Raw genomic sequence first — 20,926 nt, forward strand, 5'->3', positions numbered from 1 at the left:
ACAATATGTAAGCTTAAAAATAGGACACAAACTTATAGAGTATGATTCATTTTTATTATATTTAATTACAGGTAGTAAATATAACAAAATGTCATTTCCTTCCTTCAGGCAGTAAGAGTGTGGGGGTTTATTTCACTAGACTCTTCAGTATTTTCCAGGCTTTCTATGATAAACATATATTACTTTTAAAATTATACGTCTTTTTCTATTCTGCAAAGAAAGAAGCAGTAGTTGTATGGACTGGGACTGCTAGTGAGCATAACTAGCAGTCTTGTGAATTACAAATATTAGACTTTCATAAGGCTCACCAATGTCTACAAATTGTTCATCCTTCCATAGCTTTAATTGCTCTTCATAAGTTAAATTATGTTTTTTGTATTTCAAAAAATAAATTGTGAATTTATTTGGTATTTCAAATTATTTTGTGTATTTCAAAAGTAAATTGTAAATTCTTAATAATTATTATTTTAAGAACAATAAGCAGCCAGACTTTTCTGTAAGTTATCCTGCAAGATGGATATTTCTATGGGAATCAAAGAAAGAAAAAGAAGCCCCCAATAAGTTTCGAAACAAGGAATGGGAAGAAGGTGCTGGAAAAGAGCACCTGTTCTCTCCTTAAACCATTTACAGCTTTTGGCACTAGAGACACATTCCACCACCTACAAACACAGGTCTCTGATAGAGAATAAATCATTAGCCCTTTGTCATCAGAACACTAGTCTATCTTCCTGATCCAGGAATGGGACAGAACTGCACTCACTTAGGTGTGTCCCTTCACTTCTGTTACTCTCTTACTGTGTAACTGAACCTAATATTTCCCTAGAGGTCCAAAAGAGTGAAATCACCAAAAGATCCTGGTGTAAACTCTGGAAAGTTTATCTAAACTGGATAGAGAAAGAGAAAGAGATAAATTCCAAATATATACATTATATATATATATATATTTATGTAAATATATATATATTTCAAATATATGTATACAATTCTAAATATATATTCCAAATGTATATATAGTCTCTCTATATATACGCATTTAAATTATACATAGTTTCCACAAAATGCAGAATAATGGCTACAAAATTATAATTTGAGGTAGTATATATTTTAAGTTAATTATTAAATTACGAAGTAAACCAGTTTTTAATCTGAATCTCTGAAGACAGAAAAAAACCAATAATTACTTTGCTTCAGAGATCAAAATAGAATATCAGAGCTGGAAGGGACCATCTAATCCAACTACCTCATTGATTGAATCTTTTCACATCATCTTCAAGGGTCTCACATCATCTTCAAGGGTCATTGGCCTCTCCTAAACACCTCCAGTGATGGAGAATTCACTACTTAAAGATAAGAGTGACAGACACATATTACAGCATGGTGGCTCATGTCTGTAATCCCAACACTTTGGGAGGCTGAGGGGGAGGATTACTTGAGGCCAGAAGTTCAAGACCAGCCTGACAACATAATAAGACCTTCTCTCTACAAAAAATTAGAACATTAGCTGGATGTGGTGGTACATGGCTGTAGACCTAGCTGTTCAGGAGACTGAGGTGGGAGAATCATTTGAGCCAAAGAGTTCAAGGCTGCAGTGGACCATGATTATGCCATTGCACCTCAGCCTGTGACAGAGTGGGACCCTGTATCTAAAAAATATAAACTAATTAATTAAAAATAAAAAGATAAGGATCCTTACTCCATCTTTCTAGGAGCGGATCCTTAATCCATCTTTCTAGGAACTTTTAATATGATTTGGATCTGGCTCTCCGTGACTTTCATCCAAAGGTCTAGTTCTACGCTTTGGACTCATTTAGCTCCTATATGATACTTCTTATTTTAAAAGAAAGTTCCGGTGTCTTGCCTGAATTTCCTTTTTAGGCTTTGTCCTTTTTGTCTTTATGATGCAAGTCTCCAAATATTTTGATTTGTCTCCTCCAAATATATTCAAGTTTGCCTGTATTTCTCAAGTTTAGTACTGAAAAGTGAGTGAGGCTCTGGGTGCGCAATGACTGCATTGATGTAGAGTGGGCTATCTCCTCTTTCCCTATAGATATGAGAGCATGCATTTTTTTTGGCAGCCTATGAGCATATTGACCTTTTGGGTAACTACTTAACAACCTCACCATTTCATAGATAATTTCAAGCCTTCAAAAATAAGAAAGATATAATTGCTACTGGCAGACTGAATTATTGATAACAGGTTGCAAATATTTTATAGGCTCATTCCTCCAATCTCACTTTAAGCATTTGAAGAATGACAAATTTAATTCTTCTCTTTTTTTGTTTTTTTTTTTTGTTTGCTTCAATCTCTTCTTCTGATGTGGGAAGCAGTAGACAGAGGTGATAAAGATAGAATCAAGCAAATATATGTGGTCATTTCATAAGAAGGGCCAGAGGAGGCAAAGGTTTGTTACCTAAATCATTATACATTTTTGGAGTCTCTCTTTTAGCAGGATCTAGTTTCTCTTATTTCCAACAACAAAAATTTATTTTATTGCAAGCTGTCAGTTGAAACATAGTCTCTATTTTGAGGGTATTTATGGTGGGTTTCTCAGCGCAGTGAAAATCAAGCCTATCATTTTAAGTCTTAGTTGTATAAAGATTATGCCATGGATTCTGCTTCTGAAATGGAGACTCTTTCACAAAATATAGCTGTTTTAAATTCCCATGTTTATGAATCAGCATACTCTACCTAATAGGTATTTTTGTGGTGAAAATCATCTTCTAATTCACTAGTTTCATATATATATGAGTGTCAGAACTCTGATTTATCAGATCTGATTTAGTAAAGTGTGACACCAATCATACATGTATAGAGTGAGTTCTATGCCTTTCCAAGAAACAATTGAGCTTAAGACCAAAAGATAAAAGAAGTTTAGCAGGAAGTATATTGAAAATAAAACATGATTAGAAAGCCAAAAGAAATATTTAGAAGCTTTAGCCGTTTCAAGGAAATTATTATCTAAGTGCAAATTAGTTTGTATTAACCAGTCTTTAACCCTTATGATATTTGGCTCTTTCTAATTTGCTAATAATAAACAATTAAATAGCACAATGAAAATTTGTTAGTGTAGAGCTGATCAGCGTAGCCCCAGAGCAAAATTCTTTTATTATTATTATTACTATATTAATTTTTAAGACGGGGTCTCACTATGTTGGCTAGGTTGGTTTTGAATTCCTGGCCTCAGCCAATCCTCCCTCTTCAGCCTCCCAAAGTGCTAGGATTACAGGCAGAAGCCTCCGTGCCCAGTCACAAAATTATATTTAAGTAAATTATCTTATGCCCTGGAATAGAAATTCATTTTCCAAGAAGAGCAGTTATCCTAGAAAAATATTTGTTCCCAGAAGAATTAAGCCTAATGAAAATTTTCACTATACTATGTATGAGCCAAAAAATGTATGGTTTTACTATAAAGAGAAGCTAGGGTCTTTATGCAAGTTAATTCATTAGTAAGAGTTCTCTCAACTGCAGGCAGTAGTGATAGGCATTTATAAATTCCAGTAGGAAAAACATATGAAATGCAAATATCAACAGTATCTGCATTGAAAGAATAGGGCCATTTGTTCAGTATAATACAGTATTTAGTGCTGAGTGATATACTTTAAAAATGCATGCTTTGTGAAACTGATAGGTAGAGTGCTAGTCTGAATTATTTTGTAGTAATTATTATAAACTCTGAAAGGAAAACTCACTGACAGCATTTGTGGCTAAGAAATTCCATTAAAAAAAAGCATAACAATCATATTTTGATGTGAAAGTTCCAATTCTTATACTTTAAATTTCATTTTCAAAATAATATTTCTTGTTATTTGAGCAGTAGTGTTTCTTTATCATTGTGATACAATAAGCTGGAGATAAAAATTTTTATTTTCTCCATTTTAAATGTATTAGCTAATATAGAAGTGGTTCAGCTAGTGCCACAAATGAGTATCATTCAAAACAAAATTGCTGCTGTACTTACTCACTTGAATGAAATGTAAGAACTTGTCTTTCTGGAGATGAAACCCAGAATCTAATGCTGAAGAGATCCATGTGATATTTTTTCAAGATCTTAAATTCAGATTTTGGTTTTCTTTCTTTTAGCATGAGTAAGCCTTGTATAAAGTTGTGCATTCATTCCTTCTTTCAACAAATATTCCTTGAGCACCTACTGTGTGCAAGCATCATACCAGTTGTAGATGATACAGCAGTGAACAAGACAGACACATGGTACCCACTACCACGTGACTTCTAAATTAGCTGAAGAGACATTTAATGTATCATTACGCTATAATGAGATGTGCTGTTGATAAGAAAGGAGTCAGCACAAGGAAACACTTAGAGAAACTAGAGAAACAGGGTGGAGAGAGCTTCACGTAGGTATACACTGAGAGAAAGAGTCTGCTTTTTCTCCTCCCCTCTCTCTCTCTCTCCCTCCCTCCCTCCTTCCCTTTAATCTCCATTCTCCCTCCATCTGTTAGAATGGTTATTCTAATTTTCTACATGTTTAATGTGTACCTTCAGTGTGTGTATGTGCTCTTGTAAAATAGTATTGTTTTATATAACTCATAAATGTGTTTGTGTATGCATTTTAATTTAGATTCTCTTTTTACTTTTCTGATTGAGTACTGTGGTTTTCAGATCTTCTTCCTGGTTTTATTCCTATATTTCTAATTGTTGCATTGTACTCCATGGTGTTCAATTTACTGCATTTTTCCTCACTGTTCTTCCAATGCTGGATGTCCAGATATGCTCCAGCTCCTGCCATCCTAAATAACATTGAGCTGAATATCTTCATATATCTCTCCTTATGAGCCTGGGTGAGAATGTCTTTTGGATTTATGGAGTCGACCCTTCAATGTGTGTTTAATTAATTTGGGGCCAAGTTCTGACAGCTTCTTCATCAGATTGCCTGCTCTCATCTACCTTCCTACCGGCAGTGCATCAGGATCCCTGTATCACAACATTTCTGCCAAAGATGGGCATTACTTCCTAATTTTTAACATGCCAATATCAGTACATCTAATATCAGCATTAGTGATGGCTAGCATGAGTGATAGCAATTAGTGATATCTCATTGTTGTGTTAACTTGTGTTTCTTTGATAACCAATGAATTTGAAAATCTTTTCACACAAGTCAATCTTTCAGTGTGATCTAATATAAATTTCCTATTCCTAACCCTTGCTCATTTTTATTGGGGTTTCTATCTTTATCCTTTTGGTTTTCAAATATTTCTGATATTAATACCTTCTTTGAATCGAGACATTATAAAATCTTGCTAGCTGTCATCTGGAAGGTTTTTATTGTTGTTTTTCATTTGGAATGTGATGGGGTAAAATCTGGAAGAATCTAGAATACCTCAAAGCAAGACTCTTCACCATTAGGCAGTATAGGCATAGTGCCAAGAGCCAAAGATCTTCAAATGGTCTTTTTCACAATGGCTACGTTATTTTTCAGCCTGCTTAGAGTACTTTCCCATGGCAAATAATCAGTATTAGGAGAATTTTTTTCTTTCTTTTTTTTTCAAATGAGCAAAATGCTCCTATAGACCCTTTTTGCACTTGAATCTTTGTTGCATATGATTTCTCTGTAATCTTCAGACATTGTGGCCCCAAAATTCATGTGTTGGGGCAAGCTTTCTGCAAATAGTTTACCAAAATTATGAGCAATTAAGGTTTTTGATATTACAAATATTATTGGGCATTATTTACTTTCTGTGCTCTTATAGTGTTTCAAAATCTTTATGGTGATTTATAATCAATGATAATTTTTCTTGAAAACATCTTTAAATAAAGACTGAATGTAAAATTAAAGAAGTTTTTGAGCTATACTACATATAAAATACGCTTTAGATATAGGGTGGGGACATGAAGGTGAATGGAAATACATTTTTAAAACATAACAATCTTGCTCTTGAAGTTCAATTGGATATATTCAGTCACTCATTAGCAAAAATCATTTCTTGACCATCTAGTACATGGCACAAAAAGTGTCTGACCCAGAGTGGGTGTTCAATAAATACTTGGTGAATCAATGAATAAATAGACATATTATATAACATAGTGTTTAATACTGTTTGGTAGAGGCAGACTCCAGATGGTATGGAATCTCAGAGAAAAGGCATCTACTCTGACCTAGAGAGACTGGGAATTGTTCCCTGAAAGATACCTGAACATATTAGTAGAAAATGTCCAGGTAAAGAGAAAAGGAGCAAAGAGGACATGCCAGGTACCCCACCTTCACAAACATGTGGGATTTAAGAACCTCTGATATGCAAGACAACTCACATAATTCAGTATTACTGAAGCTTGGTGTGAGAAACAAGAAGAAGCAACAGATAAACACGGATAACAGGTATGCCTTTTAGGTCAAGGAAAGGGAAACTGCTGAAAGCTTTTTAAGCAAAACAGTGACATGGCCTAAGCTGCCTTTTAAATAGCTCATTCTGGCTTCATGAAGGGTGAATTGGAAAGTATTTAGATTGAAGGTGGAACGACAGAATGGTAGTATTTTTGATAATAGAAATTAGAGATTATGAGGCCCTGAATTAGGGATTAAGAAGAATTGATTTTATAGATATTTAGAAGGTATGAATTAGGGCTTGGTGATTGATTAGATATGGATGGGAAGTTGAGGAAGAGGTAGAAGTCAAAGGTGACTCCCAGTTTTCTACCTTGGATGACTGAGTGAATAAATGGTGCTGTCACTGACTAAGTGAGAGAACACAGAATTAGGAGCAAGTTTGACAAAGAAGATAAAGCATTTGGGGATATTTTGAGGTTTTGATACCTCAGGAACTTTCAAGTAAAGATGTGTAGTGGGCCTCTGAATAAGAAATGTTAAATAATAATGAAGTGTAAGGGTGGCAAAATTTTATCTCCTTTTTTTTTTTTTTTTTTGAGAAAGAATCTCTCTCTGTCAGCCAGGCTGGAATGCAATGGCACGATCTCGACTCACTGCAACCTCCGCCTCCTGGGTTCAAGCAATTCTCCCGCCTCAGCCTTCCAAGTAGCTGGGACTACAGGCACACGTCGCCATGCCTGGCTAATTTTTTGTATTTTAGTAGAGATGGGGATTCACTGTATTGCCCAGGATGGCTCAAACTCCTGGCTCAGGCAGTCTGCCCACCTCAACCTCCCAAAGTACTGGGATTACAGGCATGAGCCACCGTGCCCCACCTTATCTCCATCTTTTTAGGGTTATGGCTGGGCCCAATAATTAAATTGACATGAGACAGATTAACAGGACAAATGTGTATAAATTTATTTAATATAAGTTTTATATAATTAAAAGACTTTTAAGGCAAATGTAGAAACTTACATAGTTGTAGAGATAAAATGCTTAGCTCTTTAAATATTGAGAAGATTTCTTTTTCTTAAGGAATCAAAGACCTAATATGACTATAACATGAAGCACAGAAAATTATTTTTATAAAACATGAAATATTTGGTTTTTAGGTAGATAATTTTAAAGGTAAAGAAAAATCTTTTATAATGTTTTTCTACCAAGAGCAGACCAATACTCCAAAAAACACTTTGTCTTTTTAACAAAGACCAAATTCCAAAGTCTTATAATGAATTTATTCAATTTAGTCTGCTTGGACATGCAAGATTCTCTCTTGTTTTTCCTTTTCAACTTTTTATATCCATTCACTTTTAATCTTTGGTTCACTGATCGATTCTGAAACAACCTTTGAATAACCTTACGAAACAAAAGTACTCTTTCCTTAACAAAAATGTCTTTCCTATGTTTAGCTTTTCTTACCAAAAATATATCTTATTTTCCTTTTAAGCTTTTTATGTAGAGTTGTTTTCCCTTATTATTACTAGTAGCTTTAATTACATATATCAATTAGAATTTTTAATTCTTAGTAACCTTAATTTCTAGTGAAAACTAGAAAACTAAGAAGTAATTATGAACTGTTATATAACATCATTCTATATATTAACACCATTTTATAATTTCTAGAAATATGTTTGATGATAGTACAGTTTTTCACTGTGGTACAGGATGTGTTTGCTAACAGACCCAAATGTCCTTTGTTCTGTACTAAGAAGTCCAAAGTTTATAAGCTTAAACTTACATTTCACAATGAATATTTTTCAGTATTATGTCGTATTTGGAAATGATATAGATGCTTAACAAATATCCATATTTAATTTAACTTAGTATAACTTTAAAGTTTTAAGTTGCAAAAAAGATTTTGAAAATGATTTTTAAGTAGGCATACTTTAAAAAACATAATTATTGAAAAGTTTATAAACTTCTATCCCACTTACATTTAATTTACTTAGTTTTAATAATTGTTCATGAAAATTTCATGAGATATTAAACAAAGCTAGTCATTATCTTATATTTTTCCTATAGATAAATCAGGCAAATATTTAAAAAATCACAGATGCAAAGAACCTAAAAATTAAGACATATGTCTCTTTTAATTCTCATTGTTGTGTTTGTCATACATTAAGCAATTTATTTTGATGGTATGTTTTGTTCTTAGGTTGAATTTATTGTATTTGTAATTCAACAATCTTAAACATAAGCTTTTTTTTTTTTTTTGAGATGAAGTTTTGCTCTTGTTGCCCAGGCTGGAGTACAATGGCGTGAACTTGGCTCACTGCAACCTCCATTTCCTGGGTTCTTGCAATTCCTGTGCCTCAGCCTCCCAAGTATCTGGGATTACAGGTGCCCACCACCACACCTGGCTAATTTTTTGTATTTTTAGTAGAGATGGGGTTTCACCATGTTGGCCAGGCTGGCCTTGAACCCCTGACCTCAAGTGATCCACTCGCCTGGGTCTCCCAAAGTTCTAGGATTATAGGCGTGAGCCACTGTGCCTGGCCAACATAAGCAATTTTATTGGTAAATTCAGGTAGAATAAGTTGTATGTCTGCATCATGTTTAAGGTTGACAACTCTGAAGACAAACCTTCTTTATTTAAACTAACACATTTAAACTAACTTTTTATTTATCAAAGATTACCCCAGATCACATGATCTTGAAAACTTAAAACTCATTGAGGTCTGAGGAGATGGGACTGGATTTTGCGAGGGTGGTTTAAGCCAGGGACTCAGAGTGCCAGAGGATCTTCTGGGGTTGGTGGTCAGGGACAGAGAGTTGGAGGTTAAGGGGGGTATAGGTGGATGGAAAAGGAGAATTTTTTGCAGGTGTGGATTTTAGCTTTTGTTCTAAGTCTGATTTCTATTTAATCTTGCTAAGGGTGTCCCTAAGGCTAGCCATCACATTTTTTGTGTCCTCTTTTTAATTTAATCTTTACATAGGTACCAATGAGGCAATTGCTTAGGATGTGAGCTCTCTAAAAATAATAATAATAATAATAAAATAAAAATTTTTTAAAAACTTTAAATACAACAGTCAAAATCTTCAAAAGTATACCTATGTTAATTGTGATTCAAAACCAATAAGCCTTTTTATGGTTCAAAATCAATAATCCTTTTATGACATAATTACGGATGCATGCATTTTATCCCAAAGATGGTACAAAGGATGCGGTTCGCCTCAAGATCCAAAGTTTTTGCTAAAAAAACAAAGACACTCAATGTTAACAAGGCAACAAAGGTTGAGACAATTAAGACAAATTCTTCTGAGTGCTGGCAGAGTCGCAAAAAGAGACACTCCGTGTTTCAGACCCCTGGCCAGCTAGCTAGCTGCCTGATGCAAGCCTGAGAACTTGTGCCCCTGTTATGGTGAAGACCAGAGAGAATATTTTCACAGCTCACAAAGTCTAGTTTTCAAGACATAAAACAAGACAGAAGGAGAATCTTATTCTATTATTTTCCTCCTTATGAGAAACCACACAAAAGACAGAGGCAAGGAAAACAATGATTATTTCTAGGAGGCTGTGGATCAATAACCAATGGGTACCCAGAACCAAATTCACAAGAGTCACAATTGAAATAACTAATTCTTACAAATGTTTTTCTCCTGCCAATCCAGATTAGGAAAGGAAGAGACAAAGAAAAATATTTACTTTTCTCTCTCCACGAGGCATTCCAGACAGAGATCCAGGAGAGCTGATTTTGGTAGGAATTTCTACCTTCTGGCTTTTGTCAGTTCTCCTAGGATCCCATCCTCAGGCTCTGGAGTGAGTGGAGTATCCCAGCCTTTTAGGTCCAGTCCTCGTCACCAGAGACTGCCAAGGGAGCAAAATTCCACCACCATCTTCTTAGGGTCCTGGATGGGCCCAAGAATTACACTGATATTAAATCGATTAATAGGAGAAAAGCACACAAATTTATTTAATACAAGTTTTACATGGCAGGGGAACTTTCATAAGGAAATGACCCAAAGAAGCACTTAAAGTCAGTTACTTATATAATGAATTGGACAAAGAATAGTAAACTATGAAGAAGCAACTAAATTATGGAGGGAGGCTTAAAATATAACTTTTATTTTATTTTATTTTATTTTATTTTATTTTATTTTGAGACGGAGTCTCTCTTTGTCGCTCAGGCTGGAGTGCAGTGGCGCCATCTCGGCTCACTGCAAGCTCCGCTTCCAGGGTTCACACCATTCTCCTGCCTCAGCCTCCCGAGTAGCTGGGACTACAGGCGCCCGCCACCACGCCCGGCTAATTTTTTGTATTTTTTAATAGAGACGGGGTTTCACAGTGTTAGCCAGGAGGGTCTAGATCTCCTGACCTTGTGATCTGCCCACCTCGGCCTCCCAAAGTGCTGGGATTACAGGCATGAGCCACCACGCCCGGCCTATTTTAACAAGATCTATATAGGATTTTCTTGGTTTAAATTTCCCATTCTTGATGTTAAGATGTAAAGGGAGGGAATCTTTCACATGGGAATTTCATCTTCTATTTTTAAGAAACAGCACTGTTAGAGTGATCTTTTCCACCGGCTGCCACTCAAGTGTCTTTAACTGAAATCGTCAGTATGCCAGACTGGTACATTTTTAACTCCTTCAGCAGGTAGTGTGTGATAAATTCCCAAAGAATGAGTAAGAGAAAGGAATTTCAGAGTAGGAAGGCATGCCTGTGGTTCAGGGGATTCAGAGAGCTGGTGGAACTGAACTCAATCTTGAAGGACAGACAGTATATCAATAAGCAGAGATGCAGGAGAACATTCTATGAGCGGCACACAATAATGTCTTTAACAGGCTCCGTATATGCAAGGCTGCTGGGACCATAAGCCTAGGGTTGGGAGGAAAGAAACTTGAACTGGGTGGCGCTGGAAATGCTATGGAGTTGGGCCTCCTTCCTGAGGACCATGACTTGAAGTCTAAAGTGTGCTTTAAAGAGGAATATGATGAACCTGGGTCCTACTTGGGGAAAGGAGGTAGGGAATGGCATGACAAATGAAATTGCCTAGAAATGGCAGTATTATGAGTCAGACTAGAAACCCTGTCATGATTCTGAAGGTCCAGAGGCTAAGAGCATGAGGAATCAAATAGCTTTTGGCCCCAGGATATAGGAATGGTCAGGGCAGGGCTTAACTCTGACAAGAAGCAGCTTTGGACAGGAAGATGCATTCTACACCCTACTAATGGATCCAAATGAAGAGAAATAAGAAATGAGAAGCAAAGAGGTATGTTGGGTGGGGAGGGGAGTAGCAAATAGAGAGACTTAGTTAAAACTGTATGTGTTGAAAAGTAGGAGTAAAATTGGAAAGATCTTTGATTGGAAGCCCTGAATTCCAAGATTGGTAGATTAGATTTTGTCCTATCAGTTCACTTAAGAGTTTTTTGTTGTTGTTGTTTTCCTTAGAAACTTATTTTAAAATATATATATTCTAGGAAAATAAATCTGGCAGAGATGTCTAGAAAGGATTAAAAGGGAGAAACTGGAGGCAGGAATGCCAGTGAGCAGACTGTGAAGGAATCCAAACACAAAGTAGTAAGGTCTAGGGCAAGGGCATGAGGATTGGAAATTGAAAAGAAAGAATACTTAACATATGTATTTTTAAATATGAGTTGGTGCCAGGGTCAACAGTCATTTTTACCTTAAAACTATGCCAGTGAGAGGCCGGGCGTGGCGCTCACGCTGTAATCCCAGCACTTTTGGAGTCCAAGGCGGGTGGATCACTTAAGCCAGGACTTGGAGACCAGCCTAGGCAACATGGTGAAACCCAATCTCTACAGAAAAAACACAGAAACACTAGCTGGGCAATGCTCATGGCACACACCTGTAGTCCCAGCTACCTGAGTGGCTGAGGCGGGAAGATCACTGGAGCCCAGGAGGTCGAGGCTGCAGTGAGCCATGATCTTGCCACTGCACTCCTGCTGGGTGACACAGTGAGACCCTGTCTCAAAAACAACATCAACAAAACCTAGCCAATGTGTACTAAAACAAAGGTTGTTTTTGTTTTTGTTTTTCTCTCAACTTTGATTTTAGGTTCAGAAGGTACACGTGTAGGTTTGTTACATGGGTAAATTGCATCACTGGGGTTTGGTGTACAAATGATTTCATTACCCAGATAGTGAGCACAGTACCCAATAGGTAGTTTTTTAAACCCTCTCCCTCCTCCCACCCTCTCCCCTCAAGTAGGCCCTGGTGTCTATTGTTCCCATCTTTGTGTCTATGTGTACTCAAGGCTGAGACAAAGTTTTAATCCTAACATAGGAAGTAATTTTTAAAACATAATTAGATGTAGGTGCTTTGTCTTATTCTTTTTGTGGGAAATTTTTAATTGCTGCATAGAATTCAGGGCTTTCCAAGCTAATTTTGTAACAACTTAAGGTTTCTATATTTTTTCAGAACCATCAAAAAATTCTAAAAAGATTCTCAAAATAAGTTTTAAGTCTCTTCAATGAAATATATGTCATTAATGATATCTAAGAGAAGAATATAGTCATAAAAGCTAATGCATAATCGAGGAATGTAAAAAATTCGGCATCATAGATTTAAATGATATTGGATTGAGACATTTTAGAAATGTAAGATTTTATGTTTCTATTATATTTAATTAAGTAGCTAGAAAATTACACAGTTAATTTTTAGTGTATTCTGTCTTAAAAAATTATCCAGGCTTCTAGTACTGAACCCTTTAAATGATGAAATGAGAAACATGTTCACTTTTGATTTGCTTCCTGATAAGTGGAGATATAAAAATGGGTTCGGGGCATCTATTTTCTTTGGTGATTTGAACGAGTTATAATTCCATTTTGTAGAGCTTTCTAAATATCAAAAATAGAATTTGTAATGATTTAGGATGCTAATGTAGAAAAATTAATTTCAAAAGCTACAATCCACAGTAATAGTATTCAGATGACTCATTCAGCTCTATTGTAGAAGCTAGTATTAACAGTTTTCATTTTAAAATATTTTCTGTAGAAGAATAATGAAATAAGAGTTGAAGTATGCCTGTTGGTAATAATGTAGTTTCTTTATTACAATTTGTTTAGATAAAATAGCGTCCTTAGAAGCAAATCAGTGAGCTGATCATTGTGGTAGGCCCTGGGAATTAGAATAACATCATTATTAAAATAAAATTTTTGCTTTTAGGAAACTTGAAGTCTTACATATGTAAAAATGCAATAACAAGTGTGGTTTTTAAGAGATTATATAAATAATTTACCTTTGTTTAAACTGAAAGCATGATACTCAGAATTAGTATAGACATACCAATTTTTAAAAGAGCAGAAGTACTTAGGACATATTTAACTTATGGAAATTCACTTTACAGCTGAATTTTATCATACAAAGAGACGTGGTATATTAGGACAGCAAAATTGTGCAAGATGTTTTTTAAAATCTTAGAATAGATCTAAATAATCCTAAGTAAATTCCTTAAAGTTTTTAAAAGAGACTGGTGAAAGCTTTTGAAAGCACTGTAAAGCTAAAGATTATAGGACACTTTATCTTGAAGCATACTTTACAAAAAACGTACCACAGACTAGGTAGCTTAAGCAACAGGAATTTAATTTTCTCATAGTTCTTGAGGCTGACTGGAAGTTCAAGATCAAGCGTCCAGCAGGATTGGTTTCCTCTGAGACCCTCTCCTTGGCTTCAGATGGTCACTTTCTTGCTACCTCTTCACATGGCCTTTCCTCTGTTCCAGTCCATCTCTGCTGTCTCTTCTTTTAAGGACACCAGTCATATTGGGCTAGGGCCCCATTTTAATGCCTTGTTAACCTAATCACCTCTTTAAATACTATCTGTGAATATGATTATACTCTGAAGTACTAGGGGTTAGGACTTCAACATATGAATTTTGGAGGAACACTGTTTAATCCCATAACACATGTGAAGAGATATAAATCACAATAATTTTTCTCCAGTTAAGTAGGAATAAGTATGGAATAAAATGTAAAGGATAGTGTCTCCACTTAAAGACTCTCATGACCCTGGAAGTACAAGATGTTGGGAAGTATGTTTCCTAAATATTTAGAAGAGAAGTGTAATTGATTCTCTTCACGTGAAGTTGTATTCATAGACAGATTATACTAGTACTTTCTCAAGACATTTTCAAATGTAAGATATTGTCATTCCTCCCAGCCCCGCAAATATAAAATGATTTATCAGGCCTAGAAACATGAAAACATTTATAGTAGTAATACATTTAGTATAAAATATCAAGTTATTTTATCAGAAATGAATTTTCAGGAAAATAAAATTAATATATTTTTATACCAAAAATGTTATCATGTATTATGTGCAGAAAAGAATTAAATTGGAAAAGATATGTGAAAAAGCTTTTAAAATAGTAAATTTCTTAAACTGCTAGTTATGTCGTGTCTCATAAATATATTATGACCCAAACACAGAAACCTATTAAAATGATCTCTAAGTGAAGACACTAAGTGAAGAGAGCAACTTAGGATCATTTAAAACCAATTGAATTTTTAATACAAGTTTTAGGAGTTATTAGACATGGGACTAGACACTGTACTTTTTTTTTTTTTTTTTTTTTTTTTGTGAGATGGAGCCTCGCTCTGTCACCCAGGCTGGAGTTCAGTGGCGCAATCTCAGCTCACTGCAACTTCCGCCTCTTGGGTTCAAGCGATTCTCCTGCCTCAGCCTCCCAAGTAGCTGGAATCACAGGCACCCACTACCACTGCCAGCTAATTTTTGTAATTTTAGTATAGATGAGTTTTCACCATGTTGGCTAGTCTAGTGTCAAACTACTGACCTCAAGTGATCTACCTGCCTTGGCCTCCCAAAGTGCTGGGATTACAGGTGTGAGCCACAGTGCCTGATCTACTTTTTATTTCTTTTAATTACACTAAATAAAACAATTGAAGCAATAAATCCATTAAAAACTATTTCTGAAACATTCAAACGTTTTTTGCTTTGGTGACTTTTATAAAGAATGGCTACAGCTACTTCTCAATTGAGTAAAGGGATGAGGCAAAGCCAATAGTTTGAATATTTTTAACTGACAGTTCCTAAGTCTACAAAGTTGCCCCATGTGGCTATAGCAGAAATAGTTGATGCAGAAGAACTCTCTGCCCGCCATTCCACCCACATTAAAAATGCTAGATAAAACACAGCAAAATAATTTTGGAACATAAATTTGCCCTGAGTACACTTGGCCATAAAACCTGTGGGCAGTTGTTATCATATGAACTTACATTAAAATATACATATATATGGTGTACAGTATTCTACATTGTGAACCTATCTATATATGCAATGTTAGAGGAGAATTAAGAACTTTGTAAGTGCATGTTACGTGTTAATAATCTTCGTGATATTCACATTATAATCATGAAGTAATGCAAACTAGGTAATAAACCTTTAGTCCTGAATGTGGGATTAACTTGAGATGGCTGCTTTGCCAAGCTTAGTTTTACTTAATCGAAAACCTGTCTTAACATGATGCTGTTATTTTAGTGTGTAGTATTTGCATATGGTGTTCTTCCTCTGCCTTACAGGGGTGTTGTACAGAAGCTGGTGTTAAATTTCTATGGACAGTATTAATTGTGACTATATTAAAAAATTTACAGAGAGTGCTCATAAAAATATTAAACAGTTGTCTGAAAAACTGACCTCAATTCCTCAACCTCAACCTCTAGAGCACCTGATTTAAAAACAAAAACAAAAAAAAATTACTTGACATTTTTAGCAAATCTATGAGTGTGTTTTGTTTGAGGAAAGAGAGAAGCTATGACAAAGCTAGTACTCAGGAGAACTGAGCCTAGAGAAGAATCCTGTAAGAGGCTTGTATATAAGGAAATTAACCAGCTCCAGATTACAACCCCTCTATAAGTTTGCCTATACGTTTTTTAAATGCACTTTTAACAGTCCCTGAAATTTGACCAGTTAAGGCTATTGTTTGAAAATAAGAATATCTCTGAAAGATGAATAGACTCCACCAGTTTGTTTTAATGCTAAACAAACCTAAGATTACCAATACTTTAGGAGCAGAAGTCTTAATTGAAGGAGGGAGGATATGGAGCTAATGGTTTTGGAATTTCTGAAGACTTTGGGCATCATCCTTGGTGACATACTAAAGTGAGAGACAGAGTTTACCTTTATCTCCAGATCTAGCCATCTGGAGATGTTCAGAGATGTAGGGAGATAAGAAAGCAATGAAGAAAATTTGTTAGGAATGTGAAAACTATACCTTTTTCCCATTTCAGAGTGTTTTTAGGATTTTCATTGTGCTAAAGAATAGAAAAGTAAACCCTCTTCTATTTTCTCATTTTTAAATTTTCTTCCTCTTCTCTCTTTCTCCCTCCTGTGTTATATAATTACTGGATTCCAGAATCAGAACACAAACTGATACTGTATTAAATATAATGTAATTACTTTCTGGCTTGAGTGTTTGCCAGAGATGACCTAGGAAATGAATGACATTTTGATTTACATTGTAATTTTTTGAAAATGGTTTATGAGCTGTGAACAACTAACACATAGACACTTCACAATAAAAATTTTGTGAAGTGTCTGTGTGTGTGTGTGTGCGCGCACATACATGTGCACCTACCTCCCTATTCGTCATAACTTAAGTTGTGAGTTCTTACAGATCAGAAGCCTTCTATACCAGTGTTTATTGGTGTGTGTTTTTAGGTCTACCTATATTAATATCACTTAAAGTGATAGTTAAGAATACAAATTTCCTGATAGGTCAATCAAAGTCTCTGCAGCAGAAGCAGCTCTGTAGGTGATTATCAGGCACACTCATCATCGAGAACTGCTTATTTATTTGAATTTTTTTTTTTTTTTGAGATGAAGTCTCGCTGTGTCACCAGGGCTGGAGTGCTGTGACATGATCTCGGCTCATTGCAACCTCTGCCTCCCGGCTTCAAGCGATTCTCCTGCCTCAGCCTCCCAAGTAGCTGGGATTATAGGCATGCACCATCACGCCCGGCTGATTTTTATATTTTTAGTAGAGAGGGGGTTTCACCATGTTGGCCAGGTTATTCTCAAACTCCTGACCTCAAGTGATCCACCTGCCTTGGCCTCCCAAAGTGTTGGGATTACAGATGTGAAGCACTGTGCCCAGCCAAGAACTGCTTATTTATATTATGAAGAGGAAAAGGAAGTCCTATATAATAAAGACCCTGTAATCTACCATAATAACATAAAATTTTAGGTTGCCTCATGATTCACTGGTTTCTGTAATTGTCAAAGTTTGTTTTATCAAAAGTCACAGAGAGGGGTTATTGAGTTATTTTTATTCTTGTGTTTGGAAATGTTATTAGCACTTTATATGAAAGTTGAAAAGGGATATTAATTTTTGCATGGTCTGAATTATAGTTAATATAAATTCGTATCTCTCTGAACTTTAGAAACAAAAAATTCAAACTGTGACCAAGGCTTTGTTCAGCAATATGTTAGCTGCATTAAAAGGAAATACATTCTTTGCATTTTTGTAGATGTATATCATGGGAGATGTTGCCTTGGATCAGTGTCAGAAGAATATACCATTAAATTATCCATTTAAAATAATATAAAATATAATGATGATAATAATACTTCCTGAGTTCTCATTATGTACCACGCATTGTACTGGGGGCTTCGTATTCACTGTTAAATGAAGTAATTCTCACAACAACCTATTGGGTTATTACTATTATCTCCTATTTACAAGTATAGAGATTTTAAGCAATTGCCCAAGCATGGCTTACAGCTAGGATGTGTGAAGGCTGGGACATATACCCAAGCCTGTCTGATTCCTGAGTTTACACCATTAACCACTGTGTCATAATGTCCCTTTGAGCAAGAGTAAGTAAACATCTGACCAGACTGTTTGGAATATGTCCCAAGGAGTAGGGAGGCCTAGCTTCCAGAGAGTTTCATATATTCCTGTGTCTTACAAGGGAGGGATAGAAGGTAGTTCTGTATGGAAGAAAGCAGAAAGTTTAAAACTGCAAGCTATTGAAGCTGGAAGGGAGCTCAGTGATCTTTATAGACAGGACAGAGAAGTTGTCTGACCTCTTTTTAGAAAAGAAACCAAGGGACAGAGAGATTAAATTTGCCTAAAATCAAATGTCTGTTAAAGAGATATCTAGTTAATGAGAGACTAGGATTAAAAAAAAACAGGCTTCTTTTTTTACATATAAGGTTTGAAATGTCTGCCAAAGACCCAAAAGTATGTATGGAGGTTCATAATAATTTGTCTTGTTTTAAGATGACTAATATCTAGGCCTACCTATTTCTGCTACGCCCAGCCCATTTTTCCATCATGGATAACCAATGTCTTTGTCCAGCTGCAGAGCTAGCAAATAGAGACTGGAAGATTTTATTAGAGTGGACATGAGAGGTGACATTTAAAATACATTTTAAAAAATTTAAATCCAGTTTAATATATTCTTAATGACTTTGTAGATGGAGTAGAATAATAATATCCAGCTTTCTATGTCATGGTCCTGAGGTTCCTGAGCCTATCCCTGCTTCTTTTCAACCAGGGAACATAATATTCCCTAGGATGAAATATACTTGTGCATAATATTGTCCATAAAATATATTTGTGGGCCAGGTACAGTGGCTCACACCTGTAATCCCAGCACTTTGGGAGGCCGAGGCAGGTGGATCACCTGAGGTCAGGAGTTCGAGACCAGCCTGGCCAACGTGGTGAAACCCCATCTCTACTAAAAACACACACACACAAAATTAGCTGGGCCTGGTGGCAGGCATCTGTAACCCCAGCTACTTGGGAGGCTGAGGCAGGAGAATTGCTTGAACTCAGGAGGCAGAGATTGCAGTGAGCCAAGATCACGCCATTGCACTACAGTCTGGACAACAAGAGCAAAACTCCTTCTCAAAAAAATATATATATATGTATATAATATATATTATATATATTTGTGAATAATATTCGGTAATAGTGGCCCACTGCATAAATGAGACACAGGTTCTTCATGGATGCAAGTGTAGTTTTTTATTTATTTTATTTTTGTTTAAGGCAGGATCTTGCTATGGTGCCCCAGCTGGTCTCAAACTCCTGGGCTCAAGCAGTCCTCCTGCCTCAGCCTCCCAAAATACTGGGATTACAAGCATGAGCCACCATGACCAGCTAGCAAGTGTAAGTTTTAAAGTCTTCTTCTAACAAGTGATTGTTTTGTTAAACAAGCACTGGATTATGATGCTGTTATGAAATATTCCTGGCCAGAGATATAGTACATTTCATGAGACCTTGAAAAATACGTTTGGTAGGAATTGACTGACCTTTAAGTAGTTCTTTAAACTGAAGTATGAGAGGAAGAAAAGGTCTATTTAAAATTGAAGAATATTAGGCAGGGCACAGTGGCTCACACCTGTAATCCCACCATTTTGGGAGGCCGAGGGGGGCAGATCACCTGAGTTCAGGAGTTCGAGACCAGCCTGGCCAACAAGGTGAAACCCTGTCTCTACTAAAAATACAAAAATTAGCCGGGCGCAATGGCGGGCACCTGTAATCCCAGCTACTCGGGAGTCTGAGGCAGGAGAATCGCTTCAACCCGGGAGGCGGAAGTGGCAGTGATCCGAGATCGAGCCACTGCACTCCAGCCTGGGTGGCAGAGTGAGACTCCATCTCAAAAAAAAAGAAAAAAAAAAATGAAGAATACTTTCTGTAAAGGGTATCAGTATGACATAACAAGAGAAACCACAATGGACAAAGGTGCTCAGGGACTTTTTAGAGTAAATAGCAGGAACCAAATACTACAGGGAAGTCCTGTGGGATAATAAAGAAGGAAAACCTGAAATTTGAACATGAAGATGTAAATATAATTTTAGAGGTAAAACTGAGGCTTGAAAAACCTCCCAAAGTGTTGGGATTACAGGCGTGAGCCACCACGCCCAGCCTGATAGACACTTTTAAATGGACCCGAAATTCCATGAACTTGACAAAGGAAGCCAAGTACACAGCATTTAAGTGAAGCTGAAAAGAAAAATTACGTAATTTTAAGATTTAATACAGTCTAGAAGATAAAATACTTCCTTAGAAACAGGTCATAAAACTACTACAGAGGCAAAATGGGGTAATTAGAAAGCTTTAAATATCTATACATTTGCAGAAGTCTTTTTGAGGATAATCAGGATTACTGTCTGTCTAGACTCATAGGAACAACAAAGAACTGATGGAGAGGAGCAAGTGTTAGAAATCTTGGGAGAAGGAGACCACATTTCCCTAGATTTCAAAAGTAATCAAAATATAGCAGGCAGAATTAATTACTTCCAATTCTATAATTTATGTTCACCCTTTTATTACAACACTTAACACATAGGGATATTTGTTTTATGGTTCTGCCTTTACTAGCTGTGAGCTAATAATGGAAATAGACTCTCTCATGGATCTTTTAATCTCTAAGACCTGTTATATTGCCTCACACATTGTAGGTGCTAAAAAAATCTGTAGGAAGAAGTTGGTAATAAAATAAAGGAAGAGAAGGCAATAGGCTTAGAGGAACAAGAGAACTATCTTCAAGACTTTGCTCAAATATCTCCTTCTTGGTGAGGAACACCCTGACTATCACCTCCCACCACTCCCTTACTGTGCTATACTGTTGTTGTTTTCAATCACACTCATCTTTCATCTTACTGTATAAAT

The 20,926-nt window shown here is 36.0% G+C and overlaps 1 protein-coding gene across 65 annotated transcripts in view, besides 1 other annotated feature; it reads left to right on the top strand.

Annotated features, from left to right (window-relative positions):
- The window catches only part of RIMS2 (regulating synaptic membrane exocytosis 2), a 755,485-nt gene that overhangs the window by 688,046 nt on the left and 46,513 nt on the right, over positions 1–20,926 (top strand). The gene's annotated exons all lie outside the window — the stretch shown is intronic.
- Positions 19,202–19,355: a silencer, noted in NCBI's record as "fragment chr8:105220085-105220238 (GRCh37/hg19 assembly coordinates)". NCBI's record gives its function as "represses an EF-1alpha promoter that drives an FKBP-Casp9 reporter gene in an ReSE screen in K562 erythroleukemia cells {active_cell/tissue: K562}" and the evidence as "EXISTENCE:reporter gene assay evidence [ECO:0000049][PMID:32094911]".

This window comes from Homo sapiens, chromosome 8, assembly GCF_000001405.40.
Source record: "Homo sapiens chromosome 8, GRCh38.p14 Primary Assembly".
Lineage (NCBI taxonomy): Eukaryota > Metazoa > Chordata > Mammalia > Primates > Hominidae > Homo > Homo sapiens.